The sequence below is a fragment of the Homo sapiens genome, chromosome 4 (genome assembly GCF_000001405.40).
Source record: "Homo sapiens chromosome 4, GRCh38.p14 Primary Assembly".
Classification (NCBI taxonomy): Eukaryota; Metazoa; Chordata; class Mammalia; order Primates; family Hominidae; genus Homo; species Homo sapiens.
In genome coordinates, this window is record NC_000004.12 from 109507805 (window position 1) to 109530560 (window position 22756).

A 22756-nucleotide genomic window follows, 5' to 3' on the forward strand; every position below is an offset into this window, starting at 1 on the left:
CCAGCTAATTTTGTATTTTTAGTAGAGACAGGGTTTCTGCATGTTGGTCAGGCTGGTCTCGAACTCCCGACCTCAGGTGATCCGCCCACCTCGTCCTCCCAAAGTGCTGGCATTACAGGCGTGAGCCACTGTGCCCAGCCTATTTCCCTTTTCTTAAAGCAGTAGTTTTCCAGCTTTAAAAAAAAAGCGGCAAACCACTCTTCAACCAAAATATTATATAGAATTCCAATATAGAAAATAAGAAGTGGAGCTGCTTTGAGAATTTCCCCTCTTCTTCCACTGTACCATCCACACACCATCAGTGCCTCAGGTACTGCCAAGATTGTTTCCGTAAAAATACAGAGTGTCATGGATTATAGGTTGAAAACAGCTGCCCATCCTTCCAAATATAAGTTGCTACCAGGTTGATAAGTTTGTAAATTATGACCTTGTAGTATAAAAGGTTAGGTACCCCCTACGTAGGTAAATGTAGCGTATGGGCCATGCATAGTAGCTCACGGCTGTAATTCCAGCACTTTGGGAAGGCAAGGCAGGTGGATCGCTTGAGCCCAGGAGTTTGTGACCAGCCTGGACAACATGGCGAAACCCCTTCTCCTCCAAAAAAACAAAAAAATTAGCTGAGCATAGTGCCATGTGCCTGTGGTCCCAGCTACTCTGTAGGCTGAGGTGGGAGGATCCTTTGAGCCCAGGAGGTGGAAGTTGTGGCGATCCAAGATCATAACACTGTACTCCAGCCTGGGTGACAGAGTGAGACCCTGTCTCAAAAAAATAAAAAATTATTAAAAAAAAATATGTTGCATATGTATAAGAGAACCCATAGGTAAGGGGAAGGCATACATTTTTCTACCCAGTTATGTGTGTTTTGCGAAAATGTCTCTTTTATCAAAATAACAAATAATTAGGAGTACAGGCTTTAGAGTTGAGCAGACCTAAGTAGCTGTGAAACTGTGCAATTTATTTAACCTCTCAAAGTCTCAGTTTTGTCAACTGTAAAACAGGAATAATAATAGTATCAGCATACTAAAATAAATCATTCAATAAACATTTATCAAATGCCTTGGAAGTTAAATGCAAAGCACTGTTTTCCGTGTACTGGGGATAAAGTTGTGAACAAAACACAGTTCCTGATCTCTGTGGAATCACAGAACTTATATTCTCCGATGAACAGTCAAACTAGTAAATATATAATGTAATGTTTAGGGTATTACAATGAAGAAAAATAAATCAGAATAAGGAGTGCAGGTGGAGGGTGACTCTTGTAAATAGAAGAGTCTGGACAGGTTTACCCAAAGACTTTTAACATTTGAGTAGAGATCTGGGTGAAGTGAGAGAGTAAGCCACATGACTTCTCTGGGAATAAAAGGGTTCCAACCTGCATGAATGGCAAATATGGAGGTCCTGAAGCAGGAACAAGCTTTTTGTGTTCAAGGAACAACACTAAGGCTGGAATAAATAGATATCTCTACATGATATTAACGACTCTTCATAAAATTTCTTGCCTGGCTTTCAGTACTTCTGCTTTTTACTGCTTTGGCATCTCCTTTATTCATTCTTTGTTTATTGACTTTAAAACTTCATAAGTTATTTGGCCAGGCACAGTGGCTCACGCCTGTAATCCTAGCACTTTGGAAGGCCGAGGCAGGCGGATGGATCACAAGGTCAGGAGATCGAGACCATCCTGGCTAACATGGTGAAACCCCGTCTCTACTAAAAATACAAAAAATTAGCTGGGCATGGTGGCAAGCGCCTGTAGTCCCAGCTACTCAGGAGGCTGAGGCAGGAGAATGGCGTGAACCCAGGAGGCGGAGCTTGCAGTGAGCCGAGATCGGGCTGCTGCACTCCAGCCTGGGCGACAGAGCAAGACTCCATCTCAGAAAAAAAAAAAAAAAAAAAAAAAAGTAGGCCTTTTCACTTATGTTTTCTGTGTGCTCCTATTCATCTCCTTCAGGCTAGTCATAATGGAGTAGTTGGTCTTCCCTGAATGTGTACTATTTTTCCACCATGAAAGTGTTGACTCTTTAATTTAGATTTTTTGACATATATTGCATACATGCCTAATTAATCAGGACCTTCTTGCTTACAGTTACAGTAACATGCCCAAATGATTTTCACTTATGTCCTTAAATGTTCTTAGTTATCTTATCTACTTCAGTGTATTTTTCTCTGATAGCTAATATCCTCCATGTTGTTTATGTTTTTTGCAGTTCATTTCGGTGTACTTTGACAAATATTCCACAGACACAGGCTTTACTGAATAAAGCTAAGCTTCCTTTAGGATTGTTGTTACATCCCTTCAGAGACCTAACGGTAAAGTAACATTTTATAATATTTATGGGTACTGACATGTATGCTTATGTACAAGGTACTTAAATTTTATATTTTCTTAGAATTTTCTATATCTTCTTTTATTTGAAGTTAGAAATAATCATTTCCATAACAACTTGGCAAACATTTTTTGAACACCTGCTTTGTGACAAGCTCTAAACTAAGCACTGGTAGTACAGAGATGATCAAGTCATTGAAGTTGCCTCCAAAAAGTTCTTATCTAACAGGGAACAAAGATGTAAAAATAATTACAGTGCAGGATAATTAATACATGTAATTAATCAAATTCTATGAGATACTTAGGTAGTGAGTACAGTATGAGAAGTGATTCCCTGTGGATACAATAGCAAAAGTTTTCTATAAGTGTTGAAGTCTGTCCTGGATTTTGAAAGATTAGTAGTTTTGGAAGGTGGAATGGCCCTGGAAGGTAGATACACTTTCGGAGTTCTTTATTAAACACAAAGGAAACACCAACAGTGATGTCCACTTAGAGAGGAAAACTGCCTGTTCCTTAACAAATTAAACAAATTTGTTAATTCAACAAATAACCTTTGTAACAGTAGGGATTTTTAAACTTGTAAAGTTTTAAAAGTTTTAAATTTTGAAAACTTCAAAAATAATTTTATTCAGGGCTGTTTTATTTGTACTTCATAAGTTGCATTTCTGTCTCAAACTTTTTTTTACTACTGTTGTTTACTACCCTTCTTACTGGTTCTGAGTTTTCTTTTGCTGTCATTCATCCAAAAAATATTGATTGACTACCTGTCACGTTGGAAGCTGGAGATACAAAGGGTAAATTAAAAGCTTCCTTGTGAAGCTTACTTTACTACCAGGAAGTATAGAAAAGATCAAAATGAATAGAAAATAAAAAATTGTAATATGTGATAAGTACCGTGAATTTATTCATTGGGTAAATATTTTTAATCACCTATAATACTCTGAAAACCTTATCTATAAACCAAGACAGTTAATTTCATATATATATGAAATTGTATACTATATATATGTATATATATGAGAGAGTTTTTCTCTAAATACAGATATACATGATACCTTCTGGAAGCATGTATACTAAATTGTTTACAGTGACATCTTCTGTGATATAGAGTTCTGTAATTTTTTATTTTCTCATTCTCAGTTAACTATATTTCCTGATTTTTTTTTACAACAGATATGTGGTTACTTGCATAATAATAATCATATATGTGAAAAAATTAAATACAAAGATCAAAATGTTCATGTGCAGATAGAAAAAAACAGAATGATATACTAAAATGATAGCAGGTTAATTCAGAGACATAGAATAATATGTGATCTCTTAATCTTTTTTCATATTTTCTAAAGTTTCTACTTGAATATAAAATTCATTTCCCAAACTAAGCATAGAGATGTAATTTTTTTTAAAGGCACGTTGTGTTTGACTGCTTCTGGCCTCAGCTCCTGTCAGAAGTTGCTGTGGCAGTCTAATGAGCAGTGCCTAATAGTCTAGTACCACGTGCAGTCAACAAAGACAAAGGTATTTGTATATGGTATGTTTCTCTCTCACTGTTATTTCTAAAGTTAAACTGATAAGATCTCACTTACATTATTTTCTTGGCCAATGTTTGTTATGACTTTATTTTAGTGTTATGATTTGTGACAAGAGGGAGAAAACTTGATGGCTACATGTGTTGCTCAACATGTCCCTGGATTTTATTAATATGCTTCCATATAAAACCACATAAAAACAATTAAGGTTTATGTTCTGTATTTGGAGCAGATCTGTGTACGTTCTGTTTTTCCTTGGGGTGCCTTTTTCTGCTACAGCTTCTTTATTTTATTTCCTAGCAATTACCAGTGATAACATCAAATACCATTGTGAGGTGCCGATCCTGTCGAACGTATATTAACCCCTTTGTATCCTTCATTGATCAACGTAGATGGAAATGCAATTTGTGCTATAGAGTAAACGATGGTGAGTTTTAGATTCTTAATTGTGTTTTAATCCTATTTTCAGGTTTTTTTTTTTGAGATTTTTGTCATCTCCTGGTTTCTCTCTTCATTGCTTTAAAAAGAATTTTCATGCCATTTTTAGTAGAGGGAATATAGGCTAAGGCTAGGACTAGGGATTCTTCATTTTGGCTGACCAAGGGGATAATTGACAATGAGGAGAGTAACAGTGAGGACAAAGTAAGAAAAATAGAAACAGTGACACTCATGCAGGTGAGCTTATGCAGACTAGTTATGCTTGTCCCTGACAGTAAGATTGTCTTACATTTGTATATTTGGTTCATTCAACTCAGGTAGAACTTTGCCAGTGTATCTGGATGCATGCATGTATATATGTCTGTCTCTTGTTCCCTTTATTCATTTCTTCGGGTTCCCCTACTAGAGTTGCTTTCAAATTTATGTTTCTCTGTCTGATTTTTTTCCATGTCATTTGATATAATAAATAGGATACAAGTCTAAGAAGGAAGGTTACTTGCATCCTGGTTTTCTCACCTGATTTCAGAACATAAGTTTTTTTATCCTTCTGATCTATTTTTTTTTTTTAATTTTTTTTTTGAGACAGGGTCTCGCTCTGTCACCCAGGCTGGAGTGCAGTTGCACAATATGGCTCACTGCAATCTCTGCTTTCCAGGTTCAAGCTATAAGTTTTTCTCATGCCTCAGCCTCCCAAGTAGCTGAGACTACAGGCTTGCACCACCACACCTGGCTAATTTTTGTATTTTTGGTAGAAATGGGGTCTCGCTATGTTGGCCAGGCTAATCCTGAACTCCTGGGCTCAAATGATCCATCCACCTCAGCCTCCCAACCCAAGAGCTGGGATTACAGACATGAGCCACTGCACCTAAGCCTGATCTTTTTTTTTTTTTTTTTTTTGGAGATGGAGTCTCACTCTGTCACCCAGGTTGGAGTGCAGTGGTGCGATCTCAGCTCACTGCAACCTCCACCTCCCGGGTTCAAGCAATTCTTCTGCCTCAGCCTCCCGAGTAGCTGGGACTACAGGTGTCTGCCACCATGTCTGGCTAATTTTTGTATTTTTAGTAGAGATGGGGTTTTACCATATTGGCCAGGCTGGTCTCGAACTCCTGACCTCGTGATCTTCCCCGCCTCAGCCTCCCAAAATGCTGGGATTATAGGTGTGAGCCACTGCGCCTGGCCCCCTGATTATTATTTTTTTTTTTTTTCGGAGACAGAGTCTCACTCTGTCGCCTAGGCTGGAGTGCAGTGGTGTAATCTCAGCTCACTGCAACCTCTGCCTCCCAGGTTCAAGCAATTCTCCTGCCTCAGCCTCCTGAGTAGCTGGGATTACAGGCGCACACCACTATGCCTGGCTAATTTTTGTTTTTTTAGTAGAGACGAGGTTTCACCATGTTGGTCAGGCTGTTCTCAAACTCCTGACCTCGTGATCCGCCCGCCGCGGCCGCCCAAAGTGCTGGGATTGCAGGCGTGAGCCACCGCCCTGATCTATTTTTTAAGGAGGGCTTAAGGGATTGATTTTTACCATTAAATGTTCGCAGAACTGTTGCTAAACCTCGTGTAAATATTGATAATAGATATTTATTTTTAGGTGTGTATATATGTGTTTAGTTACAAATTGTGTCTCTAAATTTGTACTGGGACCTCTTATCTAGTTCCTGAAGAATTTATGTATAACCCCCTTACCCGATCTTATGGAGAGCCTCATAAACGACCAGAAGTTCAGAATTCAACTGTGGAGTTCATTGCTTCTTCAGATTACATGGTAACTATTCAGTGTTAAGATTTGTTATGGAACACAATTACATTGGTCATTTGTAATTTTCTGTTAAGTGAACTCTTATCGAGATTTTGAAGTTGTTTATACTCATAATTTTTAAAAACAAATTAATGCTGGAAGTTTATATTTAACAAAGAGAAAATCTTTCTAAAGGTTATTCGATCTCCTAGAAGGCTTTCTATGAATAAGAAATGTTAGTTCTGTCTTATGATGGGCACTAGCATCTATGACTTGTTGCCATTTTGATTTCCTTGCATGGAATGGATATAGATACCCTTTTACCATTTAACATTTAAGACTCTCAAAACAGAGAAATGCACATTTTTGCCCAAAACTTAAGTTTTTTCACCAAGATACCAAGATAAGTGGATATGGACTTCTAATTTTTTCTTCTGTTGCAATTAGAAAATTCTGTCTCTTCTTTAATTATATGAACTGTAAGATCTCATTCTTCTTTTCACTTCAAAAACGAATTACTGGCCCTAAGGTTTGCTCATCTTCGTTATCATATCTTCTCTTTTTAACATATTTATAAAAACTGTATTGGCTGGGTGTGGTGGCTCACGTCTGTAATCCCAGCACTTGCGGAGGCTGAGGTGGGTGGATCACCTGAGGTCAAGAATTTAAGACCAGCCTGGCCAACATGGTGAAACCCTGTCTCTACTTAAAATACAAAAATTAGCTGGGCGTGGTGGTGCACGCCTGTAATCCCAGCTGCTAGGGAGGCTGAGGCCGAGAATTGCTTGAACGTGGGAGGGGGAGGTTGCAGTGAGCCAAGATTGTGCCATGGCACACCAGCCTGGGCAACAGGGGAAGACTCCGTCTCAAAAACAAACAAACAAACTCAAAAAACTATATCTTCTGTAGCTACAACTCTAATCCTTGTTGTCCGCAAAACTTAAACTGCTGCTAGTGAAAAGGAGTAAGCGATGTGCATTAAATTTTTGGCGCCTGGCTCATCTTTATTTTTGTAATTTTTGTGTTCTTTTGTGTCTAATTTGGCATATGCCCACCTAACTACCATTTTCATGTTTGTTTCTGTATTAACTGTAATAAACTTTATCTTGATCACTTTTACTCTCAAGCCCTACCTTCTTTATGATTTATTATTTTCCCACTCCATATTGGGTCCTTAGGAATCTTAATCTAATTGAAGTGGTAAAGCAAGAAATAATCTTTTAAGTTTTGCCATATGATTCATATGGCCCTTGGTTAGCACATTTTTATTTATTTATTTATTTATTTTTGAGATGGAGTCACGCTCTGTCATCCAGGCTGGAGTGCAGTGGCACCATCCCGGCTCACTGCAAGCTCTGCCTCCCGGGTTCACGACATTCTCCTGCCTCAGCCTTCCGAGTAGCTAGGACTACAGGCTCCCGCCACCACGCCCGGCTAATTTTTTGTATTTTTAAGTAGAGACGGGGTTTCACCATGTTAGCCAGAATGGTCTTGATCTCCTGACCTCGTAATCCACCGGCCTCAGCCTCCCAAAGTGCTGAGATTACAGGCGTGAGCTACTGCTCCTGGCTCCAGTTAGCATATTTTTAAGAAAAGATTTAATATATTCTTTTATTTTAACTTTACTTATTTATGTACTTAATTTTTACTTGAGACAGAGTTTCACTCTGTCACCCAAGCTAGAGACAAGGTTTTACCATGTTGCTCAGACTGGTCTCAAACTCCTGGGCCCGAGCAATCCACCTACCTTGGCTTCCCAAAAGTGCTGGGATTACAGGCATGAGCCACTGCACCTGGCCTATTTCAACTTTATATAACAGCAGTTTTCACACGTACTCCAAAGAAAACAGTATAATGAGCCATCCTTTACCCATCACCAAGCTTCAACAATTATCAACCATAAGGACTTTTCAAAGAATGTATTTAAAGGCCAGGCACAGTGGCTCACACCAGTAATCCTAGCACTTTGGGAGGCTGAGGCGGGCGGATCAAGTGACATCAGGAGTTCATAACCAGCCTGGCCAACATAGTGAACCCCCCCCCACCCCCATCTCTACCAAATACAAAAATTAGCTCTGCGTGGAGGCATGTGCCTGTAGTCCCAGCTACTCAGGAGGCTGAGGCAGGAGAATCGCTTGAACCTGGGAGGCAGAGATTGCAGTGAGCCAAGACTGCACCACTGCACTCCAGCCTGGATGACAGAGTGAGACTCTGTCTCCAAAAAAAAGAAAAGTATTTATAATACCATCACAAGGACTTTCTTTACACATAGCACTTAAACATTAGGATTCAGTCACCTCCAGGTAAACCAATAGCTGGTACTAATGGCAAATTGTTGGGTTTAAAATTTGTTTTTAGGAAAGGGGAAGGGATGTACATCTAGAGAGCTTAGTATTAAATCATAAGCCTAATTTTTAAAAAATGAACTCTTAGCCAACACTCCTTATCAGAAAAACATTTAACCCATCTATTTAACTGTGGCTGTGTATCAACTGCCTTATCATGCTTAGTCCACAACCAACTAAAAAGAAAAAAAATTAAAAGCATATCATTTTCATGAGCACATATTACAAAATAGCAATCCTATTTGTGTATTTTTTGTGTTAATATATTCAGTAAATATCCAGTAGCAATAGTAATATATAAAAAGAATAAATTGTACCTACCAAATAACTTACTTTATTTTTATTCCTTTCAGCTGCGTCCTCCTCAACCTGCAGTTTACTTGTTTGTTTTAGATGTGTCTCATAATGCAGTGGAAGCTGGATATTTGACAATTTTGTGCCAGTCACTCCTAGAAAATCTAGACAAGTAAGAATATTTTTAATTCATACTATACATATGTGTATGTTATATATATAAATGTGTATAAATATGAAGTGTTCGCAGTTTGTGGGATTGGGTTTGGTTGTATTTATCAACTAAAAAGAGTACTACTTATGTACCACAGAATAAGAATGCAGATACTCGAGTTATGATTTATGACTTGGTATCTGAATTATAAAATCATAAAAATCTAGTATTTAGTCAGGAATTTAGATCTCATCTAACTGTCTGACTCAGCCAATCTGAACACAGGGGCCAGAAATGTTGAGTTAGCCAGTATATCGGGAATCTGGATGAGACTATCAAAAAGACAAAAGATAACATGTTGGTGAGGATGTGGAGAAAAGGGAAACTGCACACTTTGGGGAATGTAAATTAGTACAGCCATTATAGAAAACAGTATAAAGGTCCCTCAGAAAATTTAATACAATTGTCGTATGATCCAGCAATCCCACTACTTGGAATATATCCAAAGAAAATAAAATCAGTGTGTGGAAGATATATCTGCACTCCCATGTTTATTGTAGCATTTGTAGTTTATTCACAAGAGTCAGGATACATAATCAGACTAAGTATCCATCAACAGATGGATGGATAAAGAAACTGGTATATGTGCAAATGGAATACTATCCAGCCTTTAAAAAGAAAATTTTTTCTCATTTGTGATACCATGGATAAACCTGGAGGTCATTACGTTAAGTGAAATCAGAACAGATATTGCGTGTTCTCATTCATTGTGGGAGCTAAAAAGGTAAATCTCATAAAAGTAGAGAGTACAGTGGTTGTTACCAGGGGTGGGGTGGGAGGTTTTGAGAGATCCTAGCCAAAGTGTAAAAGATAGGAGGAATAAGTTCAAGAGATCTGTTGTACAACGTGATGACTATAGTTAATAGCAATATATTGTATTCTTGGAGAAATGCTAAGAGATGAGAATTGTTGTGTTCTCACTACAAAAATTTTAACTTTGTGAGGCAATGCATATATTCATTAGCTAGATTTAGCCATTCCACAGTGTAGATATATATATTTCAAAACAACATGTTTTACATGACAGATACATACAATCTTATCTGTCAGTTTAAATAAAATTTAAAAAGATAAAAGGATTTTTTTAAAAAGAATCTGGATGAGAGAAATCTGGCTGTAATTTATGCCTGAGCAAGGAATTTTTTCCATAAACTTGTTTTAATTGCACTGATGACAGAATGAGCTGGTTTAAAGGGAAGGAGGGAACTGATTTTGTGCTAAATATGTTAGGAAGCGAGAAACTGAGCATTTTGTTTGTTTGTTTGTTTATTTATTTATTTATTTATTTATTTATTTATTTTTTGAGACAGAGTCTCGCTCTGTTGCCCAGGCTGGAGTGCAGTGGCGCGATCTCAGCTCACTGCAACTTCCGCCTTCTGGGTTCAAGCAATTCTCTTGCCTCAGCCTCCCAAATAGCTGGGATTACAGGCACCCACCACCACACTAGGCTAAGAAACTGAGCATTTTGTCACATTAGTAATGAGCTGGATTGTGGAAATGGAAATAGCAAGTATAGGATACGTGGCTTATACCTGGCTCTAATTCCCTCCTCTGTGTCTACCAAGATTAGTCATGAAGGAGCCCCTCATCTAGCTTTAAAAATGAACCATCCAAATCTCTGGAAAGTACAGTTGTTTGCACATTTCCGTTTCACTCCAACACCCACAAGAGATGTGGCTTCAGGTTGTTAGTGAGAGTGGTTCACTACTGCAGTGGTTCTCAACATCTGTCGAGGTGTGGGGCTTGTTATATATGAATACTTTGTCCCAAGTACTTTGGTGATTCCAAAAGGTTCTCCTCTATCTTTCATTTGAGCTTGAAGAGTCCTTGCCCTGTTGAATGCTACTTCTAGTCACCATAGTCTTCATATCACTGATCTTGGCCTGAAAGGAAACTGATAACATTAAGATGTTCAAGATTTTAAAAATTGAGAGATATTGAGAGATTTGCTTTTGGTGTTTGTTACTAAGAGTTTTCATGTTTTAATCCTTGAAGTATTTGCCCCTACTTTAGTCACAAGTGCTTACTTCAAAAATAGCTTTAACAGTGAGTGGCAACGGAAGACTGCTCTACAGAAATGATTGGTTGGCTTGTTGTTGGTTTGTTGTTGATGTTTCTGTCTTTTTTTTTTTTTTTTTTTTTGAGACAGAGGCTTGCTCTGTTCCCCAAGCTGGAGTACAGTGGTGTGATCTCTGCTCGCTGCAGCCTTGACCTCCCAGGCTCAAGTGATCCTCCCACTTCAGCCTCCTTAGTAGCTGCGACTACAAGCGCACACCATCACACTCGGCTAATTTTTGTATATTTAGTAGAGACAGGGTTTTGCCATGTTGCCCAGGCTGATCTCGAACTCCTGAGCTCAAGCGATCCACCCACCTCGGCCTCCCAAAGTGCTGGGATTACAGCCACTGCACCTGGCTTGTTTTTGTCTTTAAATACCAAGTTTTAATCCCCCAAGAGGGTACACCATTCTTGGAGGTACTAAAATACCAGGTTGATGCATGGAGTGGATGGAGCAAGCTCCTATTCCGTCACTGTGCTCCAGAAATCCATTTACTCTATTAGCCTTGTATGGAAAAGTATGATATAGGAGCCACACTGAGAGAGATGATTGACAACTTGTAAATTAAATAGACTGTGCAAAACCAAAAGTGTAAAACTGGGAATGGAAAATGTTTTAAAAATATTTCTATTTGATTACAGCAGAAAACAAGCATTGAGAAAGTAAAAGAAAAAGAAAGTGACAGAATAGCAACAAATGTATAATATGTTTTTGGAAAGGGCTCTGGAAACTTCTTTGAGAAAGAAGAGTTTGATGCTGGAGCAGTTTCAGCTCAACTTTGTGTATTTTTAGCTTGGAGTAGGTCAGTAGTCTCCTCTAGCCAGTAACAAATGACCCCACTCCTCAGTGATCTTAGAAGTCTCACAGGAGTGAAGATTAGTCTGTGGAAACATCATAAATATTCACCATACTGGTAAGCTGAACATCCACATAACTTGTAGCTTTCTGTTCTCTGAAATGCTCTTGACCCACCTTGCAGACTATATCTTAATACCCTGATCAGTCATCCATAGCAGTGATAATGCTTCTTGCTTCGATGCATATTCTATTTTGGCATCCTGTAGTATCCAAAGATATTTTAAAGGCATTGCTAAAACAATAAATTACATAACTGAAGTTAACATAGTTGGTAGTACTTAGTAATATGCTTCTGTGAGATGAGGCATCTATCTTATTAATAAAGAAAGCTTGACAGGCAGTGAAATGGTAATTTTTTCTTTGTATTGTAGCATCGACTTTTGAAAACAGCTCTAACAGCATTTTAAAAGATTAATGATAGATAAAATGTTTCAGTGTTCATAAATGTGGTTTTTGTGTAAAATTTTACACATTAAAATCTGATTTGCAGTATATTCAATCTTTTCTTGGAAAGTACTTATTTGTCATTCTGCCCTTAAAATGCTTAAGCAAGATATACTATTGTTCTAATATTGGAACTGGAAGTAAGTTTTCACCTTGGTCTTCTTCTCTGATATATATTTGTTTAGATAGGGATAATTTTTCTGTCCCCTGTAGAAAAGCATATGTGTAATTATCCTTGGACTTAAATTACTATTTCATTATTTTCTGAAATGAAATATGTTACTGAGCACTCTGAATTTAAAATTGTCATTTTTATCTTTAGGCTTCCTGGAGATTCACGAACAAGAATAGGATTCATGACCTTTGATAGCACTATTCATTTCTACAATTTACAAGAAGGATTATCACAGCCTCAAATGTTGATTGTGTCTGATATAGATGGTAAGCAGTCAGTAAAATAAAAGCCTTTCTAACTACGGACTTTGAAATGGGGGCTACTTTATTTTAATATACACCTTGCTATATGCTGTGAGGATAATGTCATGCACTTTAGTATTTGTTCAAAATAATTGTTTTTCTGGAAATACTTGATTCTAAGTTATGCCTATGTATTACACACATGTATGTATAATATATACAGAGTGTGTATATTTAATAAAGCAATATTAGCTGGGCGCAGTGGCTGAAGCCTGTAATACCAGCACTTTGGGAGGCTGAGGTGGGTGGATCACCTGAGGTCAGGAGTTCGAGACCAGCCTAACTAACATGGAGAAACCCCGTCTCTGCTAAAAATGCAAAATTAGCTAGGCGTTGTGGCGCATGCCTGTAATCCCAGCTACTCAGGAGGCTGAGGCAGGAGAATCGCTTGAACCCGGGAGGTGGAGGTTGCAGTGAGCCGAGATCATGCCATTGCACTCCAGCCTGGGCAACAAGAGCAAAACTCCATCTCAAAAAAATAAATAAAATAAAGCAAAATTATAGTACACATTACATGTATGACCTGATAAAAACTAAGATTTTCTAATGTATTCTTTTGTTCGATTTGTTGATTAAAATATGTGTTTTCCCTATAGATGTTTTTCTACCTACACCGGATAGTTTACTTGTGAATCTATATGAAAGTAAAGAGGTAAGATTGATTTATTTTCTTAAAGCATAAAAATATTTATATTGTGACTGGTAACTAAAATATTTAACATTTGTTTACTTGATATATTAGTATTACAAATAATAGACAATATAAATGGCATATCTATTGACTCCTCAGTTTCCAGTCCCCAGAAATACAGTGACACATGATACACTATGGAATGTTTTAAAATAAGATTATTCCTTTGCCTTCTCAGTAATTCAATTTTTGATCTTTGTTTTCTCAGCTTATAAAAGACTTACTGAATGCATTACCAAACATGTTCACCAATACAAGAGAAACACACAGTGCCCTTGGTCCTGCACTTCAGGCTGCCTTTAAATTAATGTCTCCAACAGGTGGCCGTGTGTCTGTATTTCAGACACAGTTACCTTCCTTGGGTGCAGGACTTCTGCAATCCAGAGAAGATCCTAATCAGAGATCAAGTACAAAGGTATTTTATGTTTAGTTTTTTGTCATATTCAAGATTGTGTAATTATTTGTTTATTCTATTTCATTAATAATAAAATACTGGCAAGAGAGTTGGGTTTTTTTGTTTGTTTTTTGTTTCTTTTTTGAGACGTGGTCTCACACTGTTGCCCAGGCTGGAGCGCAGTGGCGCGATCTTGTCTCACTGCAACCTCTGCTTCCCAGGTTCAAGCGATTCTCCTGCTTCAGCCTCCTGAGTAGCTGGGATTACAGGCGTGCACCACCACACCCGGCTAATTTTTGTATTTTTAGTAGAGACGGGGGTTTCACCATGTTGGTCAGGCTGGTCTCGAACTCCTGGCCTGGTGATCCGCCTGCCTCAGCCTCCCAAAGTGCTGGGATTACAGGCATGAGCTACTGCGCCCGGCTGCCTGAGAGTTTTTTGTTTTGTTTTTGTTTTTTTTTTTTGAGACGGAGTCTTGCTCTGTCGCCCAGGCTGGAGTGCAGTGGCGCGCTCTCAGCTCACTGCAAGCTCTGCCTTCGGGTTCACGCCATTCTCCTGCCTCAGCCTCCCTAGTAGCTGGGACTACAGGCGCCTGCCACCACACCTGGCTAATTTTTTTGTGTTTTTAGTAGAGACAGGGTTTCACAGTGTTAACCAGGATGGTCTCAATCTGCTGACCTCGTGATCCGCCCACTTCAGCCTCCCAAAGTGCTGGGATTACAGGCGTGAGCCACCGTGCCCGGCGAGAGTTTTTAACTCAAATTATCTTTTTGGTTTTGTGTCACAGTATGTTCTTTTTATACTTTGTAAGTCATAGAAATTTAGAAATCATTTAGTCTAACTTTTTCATTTTATAGATGAGGAAGTAGAGTGTCTAGTTAAAGGTTAAATAACTATTTAATGGTAAAAGTGCAACTTGATTTTCTGACTCCAGTGTTCTTTTCTATTACGTAAGTGGTAAAACTTACTAAATGTAACTATTGTAATTCAACATGCTCATACTAATAAACTTTTTAATTATGAAGATAACACAGATCATTGTATAACACTTGGAAAGTGGAGAAAAGCATAAATCACCAATAATCTAACGATACTAGCATTTAGTTATACAAACATACAAATAAGCATAATTGGACATCATACGTGTGTGTGTGTATATATATGTGTGTGTGTTTGACCTTTTTCATTGGAGAATATATTGTGCGCATTCTCTGAAGTCACAGAGAAAGTAAATGTGAAAGTAATCAATTGATTGCTTTTCAGCTATTAAATAGTTGTCTTCAGTATTTTTTTCTTTTGTTTTTTAAAAGTAGAGACAACATCTTGCTGTGTTGCCCAGGCTGGCCTCAAACTGCCGAGATCAAGCAATACCCCTACCTCAGCCCTGCAAAGTGCTGGGATTGCAGATGTGAGCCAGACCTGTATTTGCACTATTTTTTTTTTAAAAAAGGGCTGGGTGTGGTAGCACCTGCCTGTTACCTTAGCTACTCAAGAGGCTGAGGCTAGAGGATCATTTGAGCTTAGGAGTTCTAAACCAGCTTGGGCAATGTAACGAGACCCTATCTTAAAAAATAACAATAATGGCCGGGTGCAGTGGCTCACACCTATAATCCCGGCACTTTGGGAGGCAAAGGTGGGTGGATCACTTGAGTTCAGGAGTTTGAGACCAGTCTGGCCAACATTGCAAAACCCCATCTCTCCTAAAAATACAAAAATTAGCTGGGTGCGGTGATGCAAGCCTGTAATCCCAGCTACTCAGATGGCTGAGGCAGGAGAATCACTTGAACCAGGGAGGCAGAGTTTGCAGCGAGCTGTGATCACTGCCACTGCACTCCAGCCTGGGCAACAGAGCGAGACCCGGTCTCAAAAAAAAAGAAAAACAATAATAATAATAACAATGAAAGGAATATACGAAGCTGAACATTACTTGGGTTTTATGTGAAGATTTGGTCAGGCATTTTTAAGCCCTATTTCAAATAATAAATGAACAAAAATATTCATTTTTCTTTTGTACAAGTTCTGTCTGGCCTTAACATATTTGAGAAAATATCATTATAAGTAGTTATGAGTATGAATTAAACAGTTTTAATAGTGTCATAAATCTTTAGCCACATATCCAGATTTGCCTTAGGATAAATTCCTAGAAGTGAAATTATTGGGTTAAAGGGCATAATCTTTAAGTTATTAAATAAAGAATGTTTTGTTTATTTGGGTTTTTTAATCAACTTCTCTTCTTAAGGACTCTCATCCTGTAACCACCATTAAGTAGCATTGCTTTTTTTATTCTTCACCAATATGCTAGAGAAAAAAAGGCACCATATTTCACCCTTTATAGAAATTGTATTTTAAAATTGCATTTGAGAAGGAAGCTAATTTTAAAATAAGTATGTATTTTAAACTCATCAACAAGTGTAGCTGGCATTTAGTTCGTTGACCCATTACAATCCATTATAAATTACTGTGGTGTTTTGAACACAGGAAGCTGATATATATTTACTGAATCCTTTGATAGAGCTTTGTTTTGATTTGTTTTGTTTTCTCATTTAACTTTCAAAAATATTCTCTATCTGTCTGCCTAGGACTCTAAAGTTTCAGTATCTGTTCTGGTTTACATATTCCTTCATATCCTTAATTCCTTATATTAGAGTAAGCTCTAATATAATCATCATACAGTGTAATTAAGAGGATTGAAACTTTTTTTTAGGAAATGTTGTATGATGATTAAGAACTTGGAGACTCTCTCCAGTGTCACCTTCTCAGCTCAAGTCTTCTCATACCAAAAGAAACACCTTCCTTAATCTTTTACTCTCTTAAGTTATTTAACAATATTTAATAATGGTTAACAGCACTCATTCTGCAGCCAGATTTCTTGGGTTGATATTCCAATATCCACTTCTCAATATCTATGTAATCTTGGTCAAGTTACTTAATCAGTTATTGCCTCAGTTTCTTCGTCTGAAAATGTAGATGATAAAAACCATATGAGATGTGTTATGAAAATTAATTTGTGTGAAACAGTGCTGGCACATAAGTGTTTTTTATAAAGATTATCTATCATTATTATTATCATAGGGAATCTGCACCAAATGCCTAGACATTTAGAAAACTCTTAGTTTGGTAGGGAGGCAGAGGATATCCTTTTTGTTATAAAAATGACATGAAAATATGAGCATAAAGATTGCTAGCTCTTACTATATGATCTGTTGACTTAGGTGGTACAACATCTTGGCCCTGCAACTGATTTTTATAAGAAACTTGCATTAGATTGCTCGGGACAGCAAACTGCAGTGGATTTGTTCCTTTTAAGTTCACAGTATTCTGATCTTGCTTCTCTAGGTAAGGAAAGTCATCATGGGTACATTTGTTTAAATGAACATTTTTAATGCATAATTAAATCTAAACTCTTCAGTAAGCATTCTCTATATTTTAGGGAGAAAAGCATGTGCATTAGATAGACAATATCTATGAAAACTACCAGTAAAGTTTAAAGCACTATACAAATATAAAATGTCACTTGTATTTTGTTTAGATAGCATGATTCCCTTACCATTCTGCTCAACAGTAAACTTTATCATATATTTTATAGATATTACTGTTTTCTCAGATTTGTATGTTCTTATTTTGATGGCTTAGGTTTTCTCATGACTTAGATTTCTTCATAATGTAGAATCTGTACTACTGTTGGACAAGTAAAATATTATTATTTCTATAGCTAATACTTTTTGTATTTCTCTCTAAAGCTTGCATGTCCAAGTATTCTGCAGGGTGCATCTATTATTATCCATCATTCCACTATACTCACAATCCTTCACAAGCAGAAAAGTTACAAAAAGACCTAAAACGGTATCTCACAAGAAAAATTGGGTTTGAAGCTGTTATGAGAATAAGGTGTACTAAAGGTATGAAGTTGTAAAAGTTATATTTTATATTAAATACTTGTATCAAAGTCAGTGAGCATTCCATGTATTGACTACCTCTGACTGTTCATGATGGAAGACTGTTTGATCTCATTAGCTATACCATGTTTTAAATAGATAATAGTTATTGAATAATCCTTGCCCAATTTTTAAAAATAACTTGAATAAGTAGACAAAAGTAATGTTTGATTTACTCAGAAGAACCTAAGAGAAAGCCTATATTAGAAATGATTTTAGAAGGAGAATTAGAGGAATAGGGAAGATCTTAAATAAGAATTGTCAAAGTAAGGGTCTTTGCCTTCATAATCATTTAATGTACACTTCCTTGGTTTTATGTGAATATTTGTTTTAATCCTTTATTTTACCTTTATTTTAAATCTAGGATGAGTTATATAATAACCCTCATTTGCTTAATTTTGTAAATTAAATGTTTAGTCAGATTATGTCTGACTTCAAGTCACATGTGAGAAAATGTAAATAAGGTTAGGTGTCAATACAAGTGAAATGTATAGTCTCCCTTTTATATAACGTCCACTAGTTTTTTTGAATTAATATTTTAGAAACTCTGCCTATGCTTGAACCTTGACTCCCCAGTTATCCTTTTGATTCAAAATCATAAACATCTTTGACTTAAAAAAGTAACTTTAGCTTGAGGTGAAGATACTATTGTTAACTTGATTTTTTATGATTTTCTCCTTTTTAGGTCTTTCAATGCACACTTTTCACGGTAACTTCTTTGTCCGTTCTACTGATTTGTTATCCCTTGCCAACATCAATCCTGATGCTGGATTTGCGGTGCAGTTGTCAATTGAAGAAAGTTTAACAGATACTTCCTTAGTATGTTTTCAAACAGCCCTATTATATACATCAAGCAAAGGTAATGTTAACAGAAATGAAATATAGTCTGCAGCAGTAATTCCTCCCTCCTTTCACATGGCCTTTAGTGGAGTGGGGAAAAAGAATGAATACACAGTGGGAAGTAATGGAATTTGTATTAGTTAATCAAACATATGTTGTTATTTTCTTTCTTTTTTTAACTCTCACTTTTGCATCTTTAAATAGCACACTTTTTTAATTTATGGAAGACTTGTATTCTTAGAATCTTGTTTCAAAACAGTTCATGCTAAATCCAGCTATGCCATTCTTTGTATTATTTCTTGCCCCAAAAAGTAAAAAACTGCTTAGCAATTAAGGCCTTCATTTGTTACTTGACAGTTAAGTTTTCTGGTATTTTACTCTATAGGATATAATTTAGAATGAGTGATATAGCGTATGTTCATACTCTGCAGATTTGGAGAGTGTTTAATTTTCTTTTAAAAATGTTCATTGTAAAACTTGGTTTTTACATCTCAAAATCCTGTTGGTGATGTAATCTAGCCAAAACAATAACTTGAATAAAAATTCGACTTGTGGCTGGATGTGGCGGTGGCTCACGCCTGTAATCCCAGCACTTTGGGAGGCCGAGGTGGGTGGATCACCTGAGGTCAGGAGTTCCAGACCAGCCTGGCCAACCTGGTGAAACCCCATCTCTACTAAAAATACAAAAATTAGCTGGGTATGGTGGCAGGCACCTGTAATCCCAGCTACTTGGGAGGCTGAGGCAGGAGAATCACTTGAACCTAGGAGACAGAAGTTGCAGTGAGCTGTGATCACACCATTGCACTCCAGCCTAAGAGACAGAGCAAGACTCCGTCTCAAAAAAAAAAAAAAGAAAGAAAGAAAGAAAAAAAGTATTTGACATGTTTGCTTTGCTTTATTTCCTTTTTGATCTAATGTATTTTCAATGACTTTTTTTTTAGGTGAGCGGAGAATTAGAGTACATACACTTTGTTTGCCAGTGGTAAGTTCACTAGCAGATGTATATGCGGGAGTGGATGTACAAGCTGCCATCTGCCTTCTGGCAAACATGGGTGAGTAAAAATTGAAGGAACATGTGAAATGTATTTTTCTATCTTAAAAACTGAAGCTTGGCTGGTGGCAGTGCGTCCGCCTGTAATCCCAGCATTTTGGGAGGCTGAGGCGGACGGACCACGAGGTCAGGAGTTTGAGACCAGGCTGGCCAACATGGTGAAACCCCATCTCTACTAAAAATACGAAAAAATAGCCGAGCGTGGTGGCAGGCGCCTGTAATCGCAGCTTCTCAGGAGACTGAGACAGGAGAATTGCTTGAACCTGAGAGGCGGACGTTGCAGTGAGCCGAGACCGCATCACTCCAATCACTCCACTCCAGCTTGGGCAACAGAGTGAGACTCTGTCTCAAAAAAAAAAAGAAAGAAAGAAACTGAAGCTAGGATTTTCTCTTATTTAAAAAGCATATGTTTTACATTTTTATTTACTGCATTGTGAATCAGACTGTCCTCACATTTCTTCCTTAATCTTACTTTCAAAATCTTTGAGGGAATTCATAATCTCTAAAAATGTGGTAAAAACTGAAATGTCCTTCAAATAATATATGCACAATCCATGGTACACTCATACAATAGAATATAATGCAGCAATAAAAAGGAATGAACTGTCAATACTTAAACAAACATGGATGCCTCTCAAAGACATTGTGCTGAATAAAAGAAGCTAGACTCAAAAAGCTGCATAGGCCAGGTGTGGTGGCTCATGCCTGTAATGAGCTCATTCCAGGTGGGCTCATTCCCAACACTTTGGGAAGCTGAAGTGGGCGGATCACTTGAGGTGAGGAGTTCAAGACCAGCCTGGCCAACATGGTGAAACCCTGTCTCTACTAAAAATACAAGAAAAAAATTAGCTGGGCGTGGTGCTGCACCCCTGTAATCCCAACTACTTGGGAGGTTGAGGCAGGAAAATCCTTTGAACCCAGGAGGCAGAGGTTGCAGTGAGCCGAGCCGAGGTCTCGCCACTGTACTCCTGCCTGAGTGACAGCGTGAGACTGCATCTCAAAAAAAAAAAAAAAAAGCTACATACAAATGATTCTATATAAATGACATTCAGGGAAAGGGAAAATTATCAAATGGTGACTAATTGGGATTGAGACTGAGGGAGGGTTTTACTGCAAAGGGGCAAGTATAGGGGGATAATTTTGTAGTGATGGAACTATTGTGTATCCTGATTGTGGTAGAGATTACATGGCTATGCATTTGACACATAACCACTATAGAACTGTACTTAAACTAATTATATGTAAGTCTAAAAAAATCCTTTTGAGAATTAACATAGCACTTAAATGTTTTCAATGAATTTGCCTTGTAGATGAACTTAGACATGAAACAAGCCTTGCTATTTCCCATGTAGTCCTAGAGAAAGAGAGTTATTAATACTAATTTGGGAAAAATTATAATAGCATTTACCGAAGGATCCAAATTTTTTTAAATAACAGAAGCATTTAATCAGTCCTGGTGTGGTGGCCCATGCCTGTAATCCCAGTACTTGGGAGGCTGAAGCAAGTGGATCACTTAACTTCAGGAGTTCAAGACGAGACTGGTCAATGAAGTGAGACCCTGTCTCTACTAAAAATACAAAAATTAGCTGGGTGTGGTGGTGCACACATGTGGTCCCAGCTACTCAGGAGGCTGAGGCAGGAGAATCTGTTGAACCCGGGAGGCAGAGGTTGCAATGAGCCAAGATCGCACCACTGCACTCCAGCCTGGGAAACAGAGGGAGACTCTGTCTCGGGGGTGGGGGGAAAAAGAAGAAGGATTTAATCAGATTCTCTTAAATATTTAACTAAAATCAAAAGCTTGTATATCAGATTTATTTCTTAATTTTAACTTTTGTTTTTGATTCAGGGAGTACATATGCACGTTCGTTATGATGGAATCAGTTGTACCCCAAACCTCAGGATTCAGATTTTTTAAGTATAATTTTATATATAGATTTTGAATTAATTATGCCATAACCAATTGTTTTTTAATATAATTCTATTTTTAGTGCTTGGGCATATATATTATAGGTTATCCCTATTTTAATAGAATATATTATTGTAGAAAAATAAGTTTCACGTTACCTGTGTCTTAATGGCTGCATGAAAACTTGTGTTTATTTTTCCCTTTCAAAAAATTTGTTGGCTTGGAATGCTTTACAAAAATTGTAGAGGATCACAAGGTATAATTCAGATTGCAGAAATTACATTGGTTGAGCAGAAAAAAATGATACATGTGACTTGGTGTTTGAGTAATGGAAACCTTCCCAAGGCTTTTTCAGAAGTAAATGGAAAAATATGCATTTCACTAATATCAATAGGGGCTACATGTTTTGGGGTTTGTTTGTAGACAGGGTCTTGCTCTGTCGCCCATGCCAGAGTGCACAATCACAGGTTACTGCAGCTTCGACCTCCCAGGCTCAAGCAGTCCTCCTACTTCAGCCTCCCAAATAGCTGGGACTACAGGCACGTGCCACCATGCCCAGCTAATTTTTTTATTTTTTGTAGAGACAAGGTCTCACTATGTTGCCTAATCTGGTCATGAACTCCTGGGCTCAAGTGATCCTCCCACCTTGGCCTCCCAAAGTGCTGGGATTACAGGCATGAGCCACCATGTCCAGCCTGGCTAAATGTTTTTAGACTTAAGAGATTAAAACAAAAATGTCCAAAAGAATCTAGACTTGTTCTGATTGTCAGATTTATTTCAGAAAAAAATGTATAAGAAGACATTTGAAATGAGGGAGCTGATGAAATGCATTTTTCCATCCTAAAAACTTAGCTGAATTTTGTTTCTTAAATAATGCGTATAAATTTTCTCTCTTATAGTGCCCATTGGATTCTAATGGTTAAAATACCTTTCACTTTGGTTGCTTTTTAGCTGTGGATCGGTCCGTTTCATCAAGTCTGTCAGATGCAAGAGATGCCTTAGTGAATGCTGTAGTGGACTCATTGTCTGCATATGGCTCAACTGTCTCAAATTTACAGCACTCTGCATTGATGGCGCCCAGCTCCCTCAAGTTGTTTCCTCTCTATGTTTTGGCCCTTCTCAAACAGGTAGCTTTTTATACATTGCTATATTTAATATTGTTTTTTAAAATTCTCAGATATGTACATGAAGAAAGGAAATCTAGGTTGTTTTCTAATACTTAA

The 22756-nt window shown here is 37.6% G+C and overlaps 1 protein-coding gene across 19 annotated transcripts in view, besides 1 other annotated feature; it reads left to right on the forward strand.

Annotated features, from left to right (window-relative positions):
- The window catches only part of SEC24B (SEC24 homolog B, COPII component), a 107082-nt gene that overhangs the window by 73990 nt on the left and 10336 nt on the right, over positions 1-22756 (forward strand). For all 19 annotated transcript variants that reach the window (NM_001300813.3, NM_006323.5, NM_001318085.2 and 16 more), the window contains 12 exons: positions 2205-2307; positions 4153-4279; positions 5943-6052; positions 8724-8836; positions 12562-12680; positions 13313-13368; positions 13616-13822; positions 17014-17137; positions 17542-17700; positions 18422-18595; positions 19518-19628; positions 22485-22660. In NM_001300813.3, the coding sequence (NP_001287742.1) occupies positions 2205-2307; positions 4153-4279; positions 5943-6052; positions 8724-8836; positions 12562-12680; positions 13313-13368; positions 13616-13822; positions 17014-17137; positions 17542-17700; positions 18422-18595; positions 19518-19628; positions 22485-22660 (1579 nt within the window). The remainder of the gene's footprint in view (positions 1-2204; positions 2308-4152; positions 4280-5942; positions 6053-8723; positions 8837-12561; positions 12681-13312; positions 13369-13615; positions 13823-17013; positions 17138-17541; positions 17701-18421; positions 18596-19517; positions 19629-22484; positions 22661-22756) is intronic.
- Positions 8342-8511: an enhancer, noted in NCBI's record as "experimental_71805 CRE fragment used in MPRA reporter constructs". NCBI's record gives its function as "activates a minimal promoter by MPRAs in K562 erythroleukemia cells, with activity observed for both the introgressed and non-introgressed 4:110437387 variant alleles {active_cell/tissue: K562}" and the evidence as "EXISTENCE:reporter gene assay evidence [ECO:0000049][PMID:34662402]".